General features: G+C 51.1%; 1 protein-coding gene across 2 annotated transcripts in view, besides 2 other annotated features; it reads right to left on the bottom strand.

Moving 5' to 3' along the window:
• The window catches only part of CCDC40 (coiled-coil domain 40 molecular ruler complex subunit), a 63,972-nt gene that overhangs the window by 7,610 nt on the left and 40,170 nt on the right, over nucleotides 1–16,192 (bottom strand). Inside the window, exons 11-18 of one of the 2 annotated variants that reach the window (NM_001243342.2) lie at nucleotides 11,215–11,458; nucleotides 10,946–11,128; nucleotides 8,016–8,261; nucleotides 6,788–7,001; nucleotides 5,228–5,397; nucleotides 4,902–4,993; nucleotides 3,120–3,240; nucleotides 2,176–2,865 (exon numbers count right to left, since the gene is read on the bottom strand). In NM_001243342.2, the coding sequence (NP_001230271.1) occupies nucleotides 2,605–2,865; nucleotides 3,120–3,240; nucleotides 4,902–4,993; nucleotides 5,228–5,397; nucleotides 6,788–7,001; nucleotides 8,016–8,261; nucleotides 10,946–11,128; nucleotides 11,215–11,458 (1,531 nt within the window). In that variant the 3' untranslated portion in view covers nucleotides 2,176–2,604. Of the gene's footprint in view, nucleotides 1–2,175; nucleotides 2,866–3,119; nucleotides 3,241–4,901; nucleotides 4,994–5,227; nucleotides 5,398–6,787; nucleotides 7,002–8,015; nucleotides 8,262–10,945; nucleotides 11,129–11,214; nucleotides 11,459–16,192 lie in introns of those variants that run through there. The other variant, NM_017950.4, reaches the window with a different exon arrangement.
• Nucleotides 2,223–2,782: an enhancer, noted in NCBI's record as "H3K27ac-H3K4me1 hESC enhancer chr17:78064021-78064580 (GRCh37/hg19 assembly coordinates)". NCBI's record gives its function as "activates a minimal SCP1, AML or CMV promoter by ChIP-STARR-seq in primed H9 embryonic stem cells {active_cell/tissue: H9 hESC(primed)}" and the evidence as "EXISTENCE:reporter gene assay evidence [ECO:0000049][PMID:30033119]".
• Nucleotides 10,047–10,548: an enhancer, noted in NCBI's record as "H3K4me1 hESC enhancer chr17:78056255-78056756 (GRCh37/hg19 assembly coordinates)". NCBI's record gives its function as "activates a minimal SCP1, AML or CMV promoter by ChIP-STARR-seq in naive H9 embryonic stem cells {active_cell/tissue: H9 hESC(naive)}" and the evidence as "EXISTENCE:reporter gene assay evidence [ECO:0000049][PMID:30033119]".

Raw genomic sequence — 16,192 nt, 5'->3', positions numbered from 1 at the left:
GCAAGCAGGGCTGACTCCAGTGGACATCCAAATGCAAAAAAAATTAACCCCAGTCCACAACTTGCACCATACACAAAAATTAACTCAAAATACATTATGGACCTAAATGTAAAACCTAAAAGCAGGAAGCTTCTAGAAGAAAACAGAAGAGAAGCTCTTCGTGACCTTCAGCTAGGCAGAGGCTCCTCAGATAAGCTACTGAAACGATCCATGAAAGAACAGACTGAGGGGTGGGTGCCGTGGTGTGTGCCCGTAATCCCAGCACTTTGGGAGGCCCAGGCAGGAGGATCCTTTGAGCCCACAAGGTCAAGGCTGCAGTGAGCCATGATTGCACCACTGCACTCCAGCCCGGGTGACAGAGCGAAACCCTGTCTCTAAAAAAAGAGAACAGACTGGGTAATTGGGCTTCACCACACAGAAGAATCTCAAATGCATGAGGCTAAGCAAGGAAAGTCAGGCTCAATATGTCTCACCCTATTTGATCCATTTATGTGACATTCTGGAAAAGCCAAAACGACAGGCATGGAGAGAGACTGGTGGCTGTCATGGCGGCTGGGGTATGCGGTGAGCTGACTACAGAGGGCATGAGGGAATTCGAGGATGAGGAAATATATCATGATGTGGCAGTGGCTACATGATTGTACGTCTCTATCAAAACTTGTAGGGCTGGCTGGGCACAGTGGCTCACACCTGTAATCCCAGCACTTTGGGAGGCTGAGGTGGGCGAATTGCCTGAGCTCAGAAGTTTGAGACCAGCCTAGGCAAAATGGCGAAACCCCGTCTCTACTGAAAATACAAAAAAATTAGCCAGGCATGGTGGCACACACCTGTAATCCCAGCTACTTGGGAAGCTGAAGCAGGAGAATCGCTTGAACTTGGGAGGCGGAGGTTGCAGCGAGCCGAGATCCCACCACTTCACTCCAGCCTGAATGACAGAGAGTCTGTCTCAAAGACAAAACAAAAAACAAACAGACAAAACAAAACAAAAAAACCCAGAAAATCCTTATAGGGCTGAATGCCCTAAGCTGTGAGCTTCCACTCAGCTGAAAAACCTCAATTAAAAAAAAAAAAAGATAGATAAATAACACCAGAACTGAGAAGAAGGTACAGATATGACTGCCGCCATGTGCTTTTTAGACAAGTAATCTGTCAGGCTGTTACAGTCAGAATTTATACACCCTTTGACCTAGTAATCTCACCTTTGGGAACATAGTCTAGAAGAAAAAAAAAAGAACCAGTAAGGAAGGATGTGATTATAATGCTGTGTGATGGCTGATTTTGGGTTAACCTAACTGGGCTAAGGAATGCCTGGATAGCTGGAAAAACATGATTTCTGTTTTGGGTAGAACTGTGAGGGTGTCCCTGGAAATGATTGGCATTTGAACAGAGTAAAGATCCCTCTTGCCAGGCTGGGTGACATCATCCAATCTGTTGAGGGCCTGAGGAGAAAAGGCAGAAGAAGGTGGTGGGACGGGGTGGGGGTGGGGGAACACTGGGCTGGGATGACACCGTTGCCTCCTTCTCAGGTCTTAGACTTGACTGAATCATGGGCTCTCCTGGGTCTGCAGATTAGATGCCGGATACTAGGACTTCTCGGCCCTCATAATCATAAGAGCCAATTCTCATAGTAAATCTCTCTTTCTTTCTCTCTCTCTCTCTCTGTGTGTGTGTGTGTGTGTGTGTGTGTGTGTGTGTGTGTGTAGTCTACTGGTTCTGTTTCTTTGGAGAACCCTAACACACATTGTGTCTAGGACAAAACAATAACACCAACAACAAATTGGAAACAACCTGAATTTTCACCAACCTGGGACTGGATCAATAAATTGTGAAATATCCATAGTATATATTGTAACTGTTAAAGAATGGGTTAGTAACCATGTAGGGCCAAGGCAAGCCCTGCCTGTGCATTTGTGTGAGATCCGAGAAGGTGAGAGGCCTTATCCCTGCAGCGGCTGACACAGTCGCCCTGGCTGAGGAGGGGGAGCCGGGGAAGAAGGGACAGGGAGGAGCAGCCCGGACCTTCTCTTTGGCCCCCACTCTGTGGAGGAGAGCTTGTCTTGCTCCAGCAAATACATGTGGCTTCTGTAATATGAAAAGTCAATTAAATTTGGTATTTTTAAACACAACATCTTATTAGCATATGCACTTGATCTGAAAAATAACTCAGCAGAGGAATTTCTATTTAGCATGGCATGGTGAAAGTGAGGCCCATTTATTTTATGAACTGCTCTTACTGTTATCCTTAAGGCCCTGAACCTTTAGCTTGATGACCACTTGCAATTTAATTACCAGCCTTTTAAAGGCAATGAAATCTAATTGTGACCATGGAGAGACAACGCGGCTGTGAAGGATGAGATGGGGGTGCTCTCTGAGCCCTTCTGTGGTGTGAGACTGTCTCACAGTGGGATACGTTAGAGGGTCACAAAGTTTGAGGGTTACAACCGGCATTTAAAAATACCAGCGTGCTGTGATTACATGGAGTAGGAATAAAACAGCGTTTTGTGAGATGACATGCACGTGCTTGTGTGTGTCCTGTGTTGTTCATGCACGTGCTTGTGTGTGTCCTGTGTTGTTCATGCACGTGCTGTGTGTGTCCTGTGTTGTTCATGCACGTGCTGTGTGTGTCCTGTGTTCGTGCACGTGCCTGCGCGCGTCCCTTGTTCGTGCACGTGCCTGCGCGCGTCCCGTGTTGTTCGTGCACGTGCCTGCGCGCGTCCCGTGTTGTTCGTGCACGTGCCCGCGCGCGTCCCGTGTTGTTCGTGCACGTGCCTGCGCGCGTCCCGTGTTCTTCGTGCACGTGCCTGCGTGCGTCCCGTGTTGTTCGTGCACGTGCCTGTGTGCGTCCTGTGTTGTTCTGCAATATTTCTGCACATTAAAAGCAAGCGTGTGGTAAAAGCTGGGTCAAGGGGGACGTGCGCTTTGCCAGTGCTCGGCTGGAGTGCAGGTCACTCTGCTGGAGCGGGTCGCTCCCTGGAAATCTCACCCATTGCCACCAGCCAATGTGGCCAGTGTGGTTCCCACAGGAGCCCCGGGAGAGCCGAGGCCTTGGTGTGGCCAGGTCTCCAGAGCCCAAGGGCTGGCACCCAGCAGGCCCTGCCACGCCGCTCTCCTCCCCTCACCTTCATCCTGTGGATCTCGCCCTTCATGGCCCGGATCTCCGTCTGGCCGATCTCGGAATCCACTGAGGAACGCATCTCTTTTGCCAGTTGGATTTTTTTCTCCCAAAGCATAATCTGGTGTCTTTAGAGGTAGGAGAGGCAGTGTAAGAAATTAGGAGTTTTCTTCTGATGCTTCGGTGAGCTCACACTCTAAGGCTTTACAAGGCTCTCAAGCTGCAATGGCAGAGCCAAGCAGCTGCGACAGAAAGCGTGAGGCTCTCAAAGCCTGAAGTGTTCACTACTGGGCTCCTTATGCAAACGTTTGCCAACCTCTGGCATACAGGGGGAGGGAGGGAGATGGGGGTGGGGAAGAAACAGAGAGACAGAGAGAGAGAGAACAGGGATATATAACTGTAGGAGCTGAGAAAGTCAGTATAATTGATAGAAGCTGACTTAAGAAAAAGTAAAAAGCCTGAATACACCAATAGTCTAAAAGCTATTTAAATGTCACCAAAGATACAAGCCCCCCAAAGCATTGGTCCCAGATAATTTTTTGCCTAGATTCTATCAAACCGCAAGGAACAGGCGATCCCTGCGCTATTCATCCCTTCCGGAGCACGCTGAAGAAAGGACGGTGCCTCCACACCACGCCTGCTCCGCACCCTTTCCACAGGGAGATATGGGCCCACGTGTGTGACACGGAAAGATGGCCATGAAAATACTAAAGTGCTTCAAGGGGGAACTTCTGAAACAATCCCATTTGTGTAAAAAACAGAGCAAAACAAGAAAGGAATATAGCTACACATTGGTTTTCTGGGAAGTGAAGGGCGTTGGAATTATATGCAATTTTCCCTGGGTACTTTGCACGCATTGTATAGTTTAAAATGTTTAGAGCTGGGTGTGTGTTACTTTAATAATCAGACACCATAAAATAATGGATACTTAAAAACTTTATCACAAAGGAAACCCTTCAATTTCTAGCAGTAACTCGTTTGGCTCAAGAACTGCCACCAAGGGGGGTAGACAGACTCTGTGGGGAATCTGGGATCCACTAGGGTGGGTTCCAGACCCATGCCCAGGTGGTCTTTTTCTTCTTTTAGAGACAGGGTCTCGCTCTGTCGCCCAGGCTGGAGTGCAGTGGTGCAATCCTAGCTCACTGCAGCCTTGACCTCCTGGGCTCAAGCGATCCTCCCACCTCAGCCTCCCGAGTAGCTGGGACTACCGGCATGCACCACCATGCCTGGCCAATTTAAAACATTTTTGTAGATATGGGGTCTCACTGTGTTGCCCCGTCTTGTCTTGAACTCCTGGCCCCAAAGGAGCCTCCTGCCTTGGCATCCCAAAGCACTGGGATTGCTGGGCACGGTGGCTCATGAATGTAATCCCAGCGCTTTGGGAGGCTGAGGTGGGCAGATCACCTGAGATCAGGAGTTCAAGACCAGCCTGGCCAACAGGGTGAAACCCCATCTCTACTAAAAATACAAAAATTAGTGAGGCATGGTGGCGGGCACCTGTAATCCCAGCTACTCAGGAGGTTGAGGCAGGAAAATCACTTGAAGCTGGGAGGCAGAGGTTGCAGTGAGCTGAGATCGCACGGCTGCACTCCAGCCTGTGGGATAGAGCAAGACTGTCTAAAAACAAAACAAAACAAAACAAAAAACAAAACAACAACAAAAAATGACCAAAGCACTGGGATATGGGTGTGAGCTGCCACACCTGGCCTCCTACATGGTCTTCAACGGACAGAGGCCTGTAGGTGCAGTGACCTTCATGACCCACGTGTGGCTGGAGACTGGGACTCACTCTGCTTCCACCAGTTGATTCAGGAGGGTCGCCTTCTCCTCGCTGAGCTGGTTCAGCTTGTCCTGCATCTTGATGGTCTCCCTCTCAGAGGCCTGCATGGGGGAGGGGGCGGGACAGCTGTGGGGAGGGCCATGGGATTGTGGATGCCGGGGCTGGTGCCCTCTATCCCGGCACCGAGGGCAGGGCTGCAGGCTGGATTTCTAATACCCCTACAAGCATCTTGAACGGGTGTGGAAATTACATCCTGGTGCAGAACGCCCACCGCAAGGACCGTACCCCCGCCCTCCATCGTCCTGAGCCCCGGGACTGCGTGGACACGGCCGGACCTTCAGCGAGCGCACGAACTCATTCTCTGTCACCCGGTTGTTCTGCTCCAGCTCCTCCGAGCTGCACCGGTTTTTATTCATCAACATGTTGAGCTTCTTCAGGTCGTTGTCCAGGTCCTTCATGTGGTGCTCGATCTCCTTCTGCTCCTTCTTCTCCTGCTCAATCTTGCCTATGGCAGAAAACAGAGACTCAGGGAGAGACCCCAGGAGGGTACGGGTCCTCGCCCGCAGGCAGCAGTGTCCGAGAGGTGAGCCAGGTTTTGTCTCTCCCTGTAGCTCCCTTCATCCCCTCCCTCTTGTCGTTCCTGGCGCTCCTGCCTGAATCTCGTCCCTGCCAGGACAGAGGAGAGGAGAGGACAGGGGGTCTCTTTTTGGCTGCTAAGCTCCCAAAGCCTGGTCCTCCAACGGAACTGAGAGGACCTGCCTGTGGGGACAGCCAGCAGGTGTGGGCAGGGCGTGTGGGAGGGCCAGGCTCCCTCCCCCAGACACTTGCAAATCTGTGGAGCACCGGGACCTGGTTGATGCTCAGACACTGTGAGTCTCCAGGAGAGGGAGGCCCTTAGACCCCTGCCCTGCCCCAGCCAAGCTCAGGGGTAGGGGCAGAAAACAACAGCTCTTCTTGATGTTAAGATGGGTGGAGGGCACAAGAGGCCACAGCTGGTTCATCCGCTGGCCACTCCTCACAGGGCTTCTCCAGCTCCTCCTGCTGTCCCCATGGTGTGCCCTGACTACCCCAGGACATGGGCATGTGAGCCCCTCTCTCTGCCCTCTCCATGGGTGATCCTCCCCATCTCACAGCATGGTATTTCGGCAGCTCTTGCCTTGGGACACCGATACTCAGCTGACAGCTCCATAGGGTCTTTTGGGACTTGCTACTCACCAACAGACGGGTTTGGGCAACCCAAGAAGGGCAGGGCGAGAGGCAGCAGGACCTCCGAGAAGGGCACATGATGTGTCTGGGCAGCATTTCCCATGGGGGCTCTGCTGCAGGCCTGACCAGCATGGATCCCCGACCCAAGACCGGGCAGGACCCGGGATGTCTCGGCAGGTGGACATGTGGGTGGAGAGTGGTCCAGGAAGGATGCCCGCCTCCATCATTCCAGGCACCCTGGTGCTTTGGCAGCCCCTTGGGCCTCAGAAGGGTTGGGGAGCCCCGGTGGAATGGTTTTCTAAGCCCAACTGGAGGTGATGTGGGGACAGCACCAGGAGCCTGCCTGGCAGGACCCTGGCTTTTCCCGTGCCAGTGTTTCCACCTGAGTGCCCTGGCTTGGCGGGGATGATAACCTTCCATGCTCCTCTCTCAAGGAGAGCTCTGAAGTCCGTGAGCTTGGAGCCATTTCGTGACATTTCTCAACCCTCCCGCTGTGACTGCGAACTGGGCAGCTGGGCAGGCAGTGGTTCACATTTACAAAATACAGGGAGCATGCGCGTTTGTTATTTGCTTTTAAGGCTGCGTGCAAATCCAGCGACGTGCCCCACTGAGTGCCCCTCCCCTGGGAGGTGCCCACGTCCCAGAGCTCGTCTCAGCATCACTGCAGGGCCGGGCACGGCGGCTCTTACTTTCTACTCGTAGTTTCTTCTGCTCCATGATGTGGAGCTCCTTCTTGGATGCGTCCAGGGAGGCCAGCTGCTCCTCCTGCTCCTGTGTCACCTTGACCATCTCCTGCTGCAGGCGCAGCCAGGTCACCTGGGCCTGGACCGCCTTGCCATCGTGCTCGTCGATCAGCTTGCTCAGCCTTTTGATTTCAAGCTCCAGGGGCCCCACTTCTTCCCCCTAGACCGGATATTCATCAAAAAGCAAAATTAGGGCTGGGCGCAGTGACTCACGCCTGTAATTCCAGCACTTTGGGAGGCTGAGGCGGGTGGATCACCCGAGGTCAGGAGTTCAAGACCAGCCTGGCCAACAGGGTGAAACCCCGTCTCTACCCAAAATACAAAAATTAGCCAGGTGTGCTGGTGCACACCTGTGGTCCCAGCTACTTGGAAGGCTGAGGCAGGAGAATCGCTTGAACTCAGGAGGCAGATGTGCAGTGAGCAAGATGGCACCACTGCACTCCAGCCTGGGCAATAGAGCAAGACTCCGTCTCAGAAAAAAAAAAAAAAAAAAAAAGCAAAATTAGCCTTCTTGGGCTCAAAGGTCTTTGTGAGTGGGCTGCAGAGGGCCTGGAACCCTGAGGTCATGAAACTGGACGAAGGCCGAGGGGCTCAAGTTAGCTCTCAGCAGGGCCGCAAGCCACAGACCCCGCTGGAGGAAATATGGCTAAGGGGCTCTGGAGCCCCCTCTAGCTTCCCCATGGTGGGTGCGCTGGCAGGGTGGGTGGGGCCTCTGGAACCCAAAGGGGCTTTGAGAGTACAGGGACCTGGATGACGTATATGGCATCAGGCCTCAAACGCATTAGGCCACTTTTCTTAGAGCAGCAGAATATTTCGTGCTGGGTGAAAATTATTTGGAATTCAGACTTCAGTGGCCTTGAATAACATCTGATTGGACACAGCCGTGCCCATTCCTTTACGTTTTACCTATGCTCCTTCTCGCTATGGAGGCAGAGCCGTGTCACTGCCAGAGAGACCAACTGGCCACAAAGCCGGAATACTCTCTGGCCTTGTGCAGAAAAATGTGACTTAGAGCGCTTGGCACACGTGCCATTTTGTCTGTAAAGCAGGTAGGGAAAGAGGCAGTTCTGTGCCTTCCAGGAGTTCATGTCTGACCGTGGGGGATCTGAGGGGGCTCTGCCCCACCAGGCACCACAGTCAGCCGGGGACCACGTCTCCCTGCCTGGGACCTCACCCCCAGCTCGGAGACCATCCGCTCCAGCTGCTTGTTGAGGAAGTTGATGAGCCCTTGCTTCCTCTCGATCAGGATCGTGCGCCGGGAGATCTCGCTCTGGCTGTTGGTGATGAGCTCGTTGACTTTCTTCACGTCCTGGTCCAGCTCCACCAGGGTCTTCTGGTGTGCGTCCAGCCTGCTGCTGGTGTGTGTGATGTCCAGGGTGGTCTGGGCAATGTCACCGTTGATTTTGGAAAGATGTGTCATCTGAATTGATGAAAAGAAATACCTGTGAATATTGCCCCCACCCAAGGCCCGGGACGAGTTTGCTGATCCACCGTTCCCTGACGGTCGGGATGTTCCTCTGGAGATATTCCAAACGCACAGTCACGAGTGCAGGAGGCTGGATTTCCCACTGTCTCCAGGACCCAGCAAGGGACCTACTTGTTGGAACCCAGATGTTGGCTTTTTACAGAAAAGAGAGATCATGGTATTAGCTTTTCTTATTGATGTGGTTTGGCTGTGTCCCCACTCACATCTCATCTTGAATTGTGTCCCCATAATCCCACATGTCAAGGGAGGGCCCCTGTGGGAGGTGACTGGACCATGGGGGCCGCTACCCCCATGCTGTTCTCATGATAGTGAGTTCTCATGAGATCTGATGGTTTTGTGTGTTTGACGGTTCCTGCTTCACACACACTCTCTCTCCTGCTGCCTTGTGAAGGAGGTGCCTGTTTCGCCTTTTGCCATGATTGTAAGTTTCCTGAGGCCTCCCCAGCCATGCAGAACTGTCAGTCAATTAAACCTCTTTCCTTTATCAGTTATCCAGTCTTAGGTATTTCCTACAGCAGTGTGAGATCAGACTAACACACTTCTTAAATCGTAGCACACACATTGTGAGGAAATGTGAAAATACAGGCCAGGACAGAGAACACATTCAATTGCCTGCAATTCTGACACAAGTTAGCTACCATTCCCATCTGAATCCATTTTTCCTCCCAGTCTTTTCTATATAATTCTCCAAAATAAAAATAGGATCACACCCTACACACTGGGTGCTAACCTGCTTTTTAATCTGGTAAGTCGGGTCTTATGTTCCTGTGCTCTGTAAGCTGTAATGGCTGTGCTGTACTCTATCACATTTGCAGCATAGTTTATGAAGCAAGAAGCAATTGTTAGACACTGGTTCCTCCATGCGTTCTGACCCCTCCTGCTGTCCGGCAGGTCTGAGCCGCCAGTGCTGGCCTCCTCTGTGGGCTCTTTGGAGGCATTAGACAGACTTTGGATCCCTTCTGGCAACGGGGGGTTTATCGAGAGGACGTTTGTGATAATCAGGAGTGAGGCAGTGGCAGTCACAGCTGCAATGGTGTGGCCAAAGCTGCTCTGGGAACAGGGAGATGCTGTCACCACCAGGACAGGGTCCTCTTCCCCAGGGCATGGTTCTAACAGGTGGCCTCGGGCCCTGTGTCTGCCCTGAGCACCCCTGCCCGTCGGCTCCTGCCACACAAGGCCTTGGCTCTCTCACGACTGTGGCTCCTGCCTACCCCAGCCTCCTCAGGGCCATCTGAGCTTCTCCTCCCGCCACGCCTGTGGGCTCCATGTCTCTCACTGGCCACCACGGGCGGCTTCCCAGGAGACCCAATGTCCCCAGGTGGTGGAACCCAGACCCTGCCCACCTGGAGTGGAAGCTTCCGGCATCTGGAGTTGTGTGGCAATGTCAGCTCGCAGCCTCCTCCTCTGCCAAGTTCACCCTGAGATCTGGGCCCCCCAAGGACTCCCTGCCTCCCCCCTCCCCAACTGCCCTGCAGGGGCTATGGCTCCAAGTCCCCTTCAGTCCCTCCCCGTCACAGCCGGGCCTGCACCCCCGCTCCACTCCTGGCTGTTTGTGGTCTCTGTGGAGCCCACCCTGGCTCCCCCTAGGCATCTACACCATCCCTGGATTAACTGCCTGGACCCCGTGGTTGACCCCAGCTCCGGATGGGTGGTCCCGCCCATCCACACTTTGCTCCTCCTCCCAGATATGCCTCCCCACCCCACCTTCTATCAGCCCATGAGGCTTTGAGCAGTTCAAACATCGTGTCGGGGGTACTCTTTTCAGCAGCTGGACTGGCATCGGTTGGAAAATTGTCGTAATAGACGAATGTGTTGGTCCAAGACTCTTTGCTGCCCTCTTCTGGAAACTGGCAGCAAAACACGTATGACCTATCGGGCTGCCCAGACAGGGGCTCGGCGGGGGCCCGGGGGCCTGGGGATTGGGAACTGGACTTGGCTGGTAGCAGCACGGCTGGATGGGCTCCTTCACACCCACCACGCCCTTCAGCTCTGCCTGGCCAGCTCCTTTCCCACCCCTCAGGAGGGCAAAACCGGCAGAGCTTGGCATCGGGAATCTGTCACCCTCCTCTGAGACTAAAATGGGGACTGTTGGGCAGGCCCCACTGCTAGGATGTGCTCTGGAAATGGTGGAGCCTGTGGTAGCCTCTGGGGGTCCTCCAAAGGGGCCTGCTTGAGGCGGGGTGTTGGGGAGGCGGTCACCCCTCGGGAAGAGGCAAAGAAAAAACAATTCAAGTAAGGAATTGTTTTTTCTAAGGACACAAGTCCCCTCCACCCCCACCACAGGTGATAAAGGATAAAGCAAGATCCCAGGGGATGCGAACATGAGCTCACAATTGGGGGTTCCCTGCCATGGACGTCGAAGTCACACTCCAGGTCCCCCCAGGGAAATCAGCCTTTGGCTGGCAGCTGGCCATGCGGTGGCTCACGCCTGGCCTATTTCTAGGTTTTCTACAGTAAAAATGTATCACCCTTACAACCTGAACACCATGGAAAGGAGTGAGCACAGGAGGGCCCTCTGCTCACACTGACTCCGCCCTCTCCGCCTCCAGGACGGCTTGCCCTCATATGCCCAGGCTGCAGGGGGCTTCGCACAGCCCCTCCCTGGGGCAGGGGCCTACCATGTTGGTCTTCTCCTTCTGCAGCCTCAGGATGAGCTGGTTGAAGTATTTGGTGGTCTTGTTGGAGGTCATGTGCTCCTGCAGCTTCTCCCGGATGGCAGCATCCGTCTTCCTCCTGAGCTCCAGCTCGCCCTGGATGGCTTGGCGGATGGCCTGCAACTCCTCCGTGAGTATCATTTGTTCCTGGAGACAAGGAGCCACAGGGTGCACGTGCCTGAAGAGGCACCACCGTGCGCCAGGTGTGACCTGTGGGGCGGGCCCGGCCTCACCAGCTGGTCCTGGCTGAGGGCATCCTCTGTGTCCTGCAGGGTGAGCCTGTAGGTATTGAACTGGCTCTGCAGGGCCACCTGCTTGGTCAGGCACTGGGTGGTGAGCTTCTGCAGCAGTGTGGCTTCCGTCTCTGTCCGGTTCAGGATGCTCGCCAGCTTCTCGTTCTTTTCTTCCTCCTTCATGATGGATTTCTTATAGGCCTCAATCTCGCCGTCGGTGGATTTGGCTTGATGCTGGCATCCTCTGTAGAAATGCAGCGGGGAGAGCCAGTTACGTGTGAGACATCAGAGAGCCAGTGCACAGAGCTGCGCCCCACACGAGGGAGCTCACTAAGGCGAACTCAATGCACAGAGAAATAAATTAGGAAGCCAACTCTTATTTATTTATTTATTTATTTATTTTTTGAGACAGAGTCTCACTCTGTAACCCAGGCTGAAATACAGTGGTGCGATCTCGGTTCACTGCAACCTCCGCCTGCCGGGTTCAAGCGAGTCTCATGCCTCAACCTCTTGAGTGGCTGGGATTACAGGTGTGCGCCACCATGCCCGGCTAATTTTTAAACTCTATTTGTAGAGATGGGGTTTCACCGTGTTGCCCAGGCTGGTCTCCAACTCCTGAGCTCAAGCAATGTGCCTGCCTTGGCCTCCCAAAGTGCTGGGATTACAGGTGTGAGCCGCTGCACCCAGCAGGAAACCAACTCTTTTAATAGCAGCCAAATCTTTAAAAAATTTTTATGGATAGATTGGCACATATTTGAGAGGTACATGCGATATTTTGACACAAGCATACAGCATGTCATGATCAAATCAGGGGAACCGGCCATCTATCACCTCACACATGATCCTTCCTTCGTGTTGAGAACATTCCAAATCTTTTCCTCTAGCTATTCAGAAATATACACTAACTTACCGTGAACTGTAGTCACTGTGACATGCTATTGAACACTGGGCCTTGTTCCTTCTCCCTCACTGTATTTTTGCAGCCAATAGCCAAATCTTGACTATTATTTTCAAATAGATCAAGAGAACTATTATCTATTGAAAGCCCAAGTTGACAACTCTTTTGTACTGTGATTATGGGGAGAAGGAAAGTGACGCATGGGTCAGACGTTGGGCTAGGGGTTCTCATCTGCCCACCTTCCTTAACCATGACAATAATCCTAGGAAGGAAATAGTCCAGCTTTACAGATGTGGCCATTGAGACTCAGAGCATTTCAATCACTAGCCCAAGGTCTGCAGGAAACAGCGTGGCTGAGGGAACACCAGTGGGCCCACTTCAAATTCTATTGTCTTTCCCCTCGGCATGCTGCGATGAGATACCTGTAATTAACGTCAAGCTCTAAAACACAGATATCGGATAATCAGATCTAAAATACTGATTCAAATGAAATAATCAGATTCAAATCCTGTATTTGTTGGAGTGCAGAGGCACGATCTTGCCTCACTGCAACCTCTGCCTCCTGGGTTCAAGTCATTCTTACGCCTCAGCATGAGGATTTGAATTTTGTGTGTGTGAGGCATGTTTTCCTATTATTCTGAGATGTTCTGCGGTACTTTAAACATTCCTTTCATTCCTTTCTTTCTTTTTTTTTTTTTGAGACAGTCTCTCACTCTGTTACCCAGGCTAGAGTGCAATGGCATGATCTCAGCTCACTGCAGCCTCAAGCCACTCAAGTAGCTGGGATTACAGGTGTGTGCCACCATGCCCAGCTAATTTTTGTATTTTTGTAGAGATGGGGTTTCACCATGTTGGCCAGGCTGGTCTTGAACTCCTGACCTCAAGTGATCCACCTGCCTCGGCCTCCCAAAGTGTTGGAATTACAGGTGTGGGCCACTGCGCCTGGCCATCCAGTATTTTTTTTTTTGAGACAGAGTCTCGCTCTGCCACTCAGGCTGGAGTACAGTGGCGCGATCTCGGCTGACTGCAACCTCCTGGGTTCAAGCGATTCTCATGCCTCAGCTGCCTGAGTAGCTGGGACCACAGGCGTGTGCCACCATGCCTGCCTATTTTTTTTTTTTTTTGTATTTTTAGTAGAGACAGGGTTTCGCCCTGTTGGCCAGGCTGGTCTCGAACTCCTGACCTCAAGTGATCCACCTGCCTCAGCTTCCCAAAGTGATGGGATTACAGGCATGAGCCACCGTGCCTGGTGATCCAGTATCTATTTTTAATGTGTGTGGATATTTATTGATCCACTGATGAGATCAGAAAAAGCCAAAAAACAGGAAAGGGCCTCATTATGGATCGATGAGGATGATTAAATTATGGCACAGGCATCATTTAGAACACAGTGTGAAGAGAACTGCAAAGAACAACGGTGATTTCTATGTGTTCTGACATGGAATAACTCTAAGACACAGCACAAGAAACACCAAGCTGCAGAGCGGGACACACTAAGCGGCCGCGGGTGATTTTTAAGTGGAGAGATAAACACCCGAGAATAATGCATATGTATGAACGAAATCTATCTGGAAAGACCTTTATGAAACAGTAACAGGTTGCTTGGGAAAGAGAATTGAAAGACTGGGGAGAGATGTGAGAAAAATATGGAAGGTATTATTCTAGTCCAAGAAGAAAGTACTTTCTGACTATTTGAATAAAAACTTATTCAAAGGATAAGACACTATCAATAGAGAAAGGAAGCCTGGCCCACATGACAAAACCCCATCTCTACTAAAAATACAAAAAAAATTAGCCGGGCGTGGTGGTGTGTGGCTGTGTTCACAGCTACTTGGTACACTGAGGCATGAGAATCACTTGAACCCAGGAGGCGGATGTTGCAGTAAGCTGAGATTGTTCCGCTGCACTCCAGCCCAGGTGATAGAGCAAGACTCTGACTCAAAAAAAAAAAAAAAAAAAGATACTGATACTGGAGAGATTTGCCATGTCCATGAAGCAGAAGATTTAATATTATTAAGGCCTCAATTCTCTTCAAACTGATCTATGGATTCAATGTAATTTCAGTTACATCCCAGAAGGCATTTTTTCCCCAGAAATTGACAAGCAAGTTTTAAAATTTAAATGGAAACCTAAAGGACCTAGAGTAACCAAAATAATTTTGTAAAACAACATCAAAGACTCAGACTATCTGATTTCAAGATTTTCCATAAAGCTCTAGTTAGAAAGACAATGTGGTATTGGTGAAAGAATGACAAAAAGATCAACGGAACAGAATAGAGAGTCTGGAAACAGACACACACACACAATACATTGATCTTTGACAAAGGTGTCACAGGATTTCAATACGGAAAGGACAGTCTTTTCAACAAGTGGTGCTGGGACAACTAGAGAGAGACACACAAAACCTGAGCCTGGACCCCGCTCATACCACAACAAACGTGAACTTGAAATGGACCAGATGCCTAAAAGCGAGACCTGGAAAACTTTAGTGGAAAACTTGGGAGAAAATCTTCGTGACCCTTAGACATTTCTTTTTCTTTCCTTTTTTTTTTTTTTTTTTTGAGACAGAGTCTCGCTCTGTTGCCCAGGCTGGAGTGCAGTGGCGTGATCTTGGCTCCCTGCAAGCTCCGCCTCCCAGGTTCATGCCATTCTCCTGCCTCACCCTCCCAAGTAGCTGGGACTACAGGCGCCCGCCACCACGCCCGGCTAATTTTTTGTATTTTTAGTAGAGATGGGGTTTCACCGTGTTAGCCAGGATGGTCTCAATCTCCTGACCTCGTGATCCGCCCACCTTGGCCTCCCAAAGTGCTGGGATTAGAGGCATGAGCCACACTGTGCCCGGCCTGACCCTTAGAGATTTCTTAGAGAAGACATAAAAAGCATGAATCAGGAAAGAAAATATTTAATAAGTTGGACTTCACAAAAATTTAAAACTTTTGCTCTTCAAAAGACACTGTAAAGAGGTAAAAAAGACAAAGCCACAGACTGGGACAAAAATATTTTCAAAGCACACGTCTGATAAAAGATGTCTCCAGAAGATATGAAGAACTCTTACAACTCAATGATAAGCCACTCAGCGGAAAAATGAGCAGAAGTTGCTTCACCAGAGAAGGCACAGGAATAGCGAATAAGCCGGGGAAGAGATGCTCACCATCGCTAGTCATTAGGGACACGCAGGCTCAGACCGCAAGGCGATGCACCACACATTTGCTAATGGCTATATTTGATGGCTAAAATTAGATGACTGATAATACCAAATGTTGGCGAGGATGTGGAACAACTGGGACTCTCATAAATTGCTGGAGAAAATGCAAATTGGAACCAGTCACTTGGGAAAACACCGCAGCAGCTGTTTTATTGTTTATTTTTGAGACGGAGTCTCGCTCTGTCACCCAGGCTGGAGTGCAATGGCGCAATCTCGGCTCACTGCAACCTCCACCTACCAGGCTCAAGGGATTCTCCTGCCTCAGCCACCCAAGTAGCTGGGATTACAGGCATGCACCACCATACCCAGCTAATTTTTGGTATTTTTGGGTAGAGATGGGGTTTTGCCATGCTGCCCAGGCTGGTCTCAAACTCTTGAGCTCAAGTGATCCGCCTCAGCCTCCCAAAGTGCTGGGATTACAGGTGTGAGCCACCACGGCCGGCAAGCATTTGTTATAAAGTAAAATGTATGTTGAGCCGGAACCTTGGAGATACTGCAGGTTCAGTTGCAGGCCACCGCAATTAAGCAAGTATCACAGTAAAGCAAGTCACACAATCTTTTTTGGTTCCCCAGTGCATACAGAAGGTGCATACTTTACTGTAGTCTATCAAGCGTGCAATAGCATCATGTCTAAAGAATGTACTTACTTTAGGCTGGGCGTGGTGGTCCACACCTGTAATCCCAGCACTTAGAGAGGCTGAGGCAGGCAGATTACCTGAGGTCAGAAATTCGAGACCAGCCTGGCCAACATGGTGAAACCCTATTTCTACTAAAAATACCAGGTGTCGTGGTGGGCACCTGTAATCCCAGCTACTGAGGAGGCTGAGATAGGAGAATCCCTTGAACCCAAGAGGCAGAGGTTGCAATGAGCTGAG

This window comes from Homo sapiens, chromosome 17, assembly GCF_000001405.40.
Source record: "Homo sapiens chromosome 17, GRCh38.p14 Primary Assembly".
Taxonomy (NCBI): Eukaryota; Metazoa; Chordata; class Mammalia; order Primates; family Hominidae; genus Homo; species Homo sapiens.
This window is presented reverse-complemented; position numbering and strand designations above follow the sequence as displayed.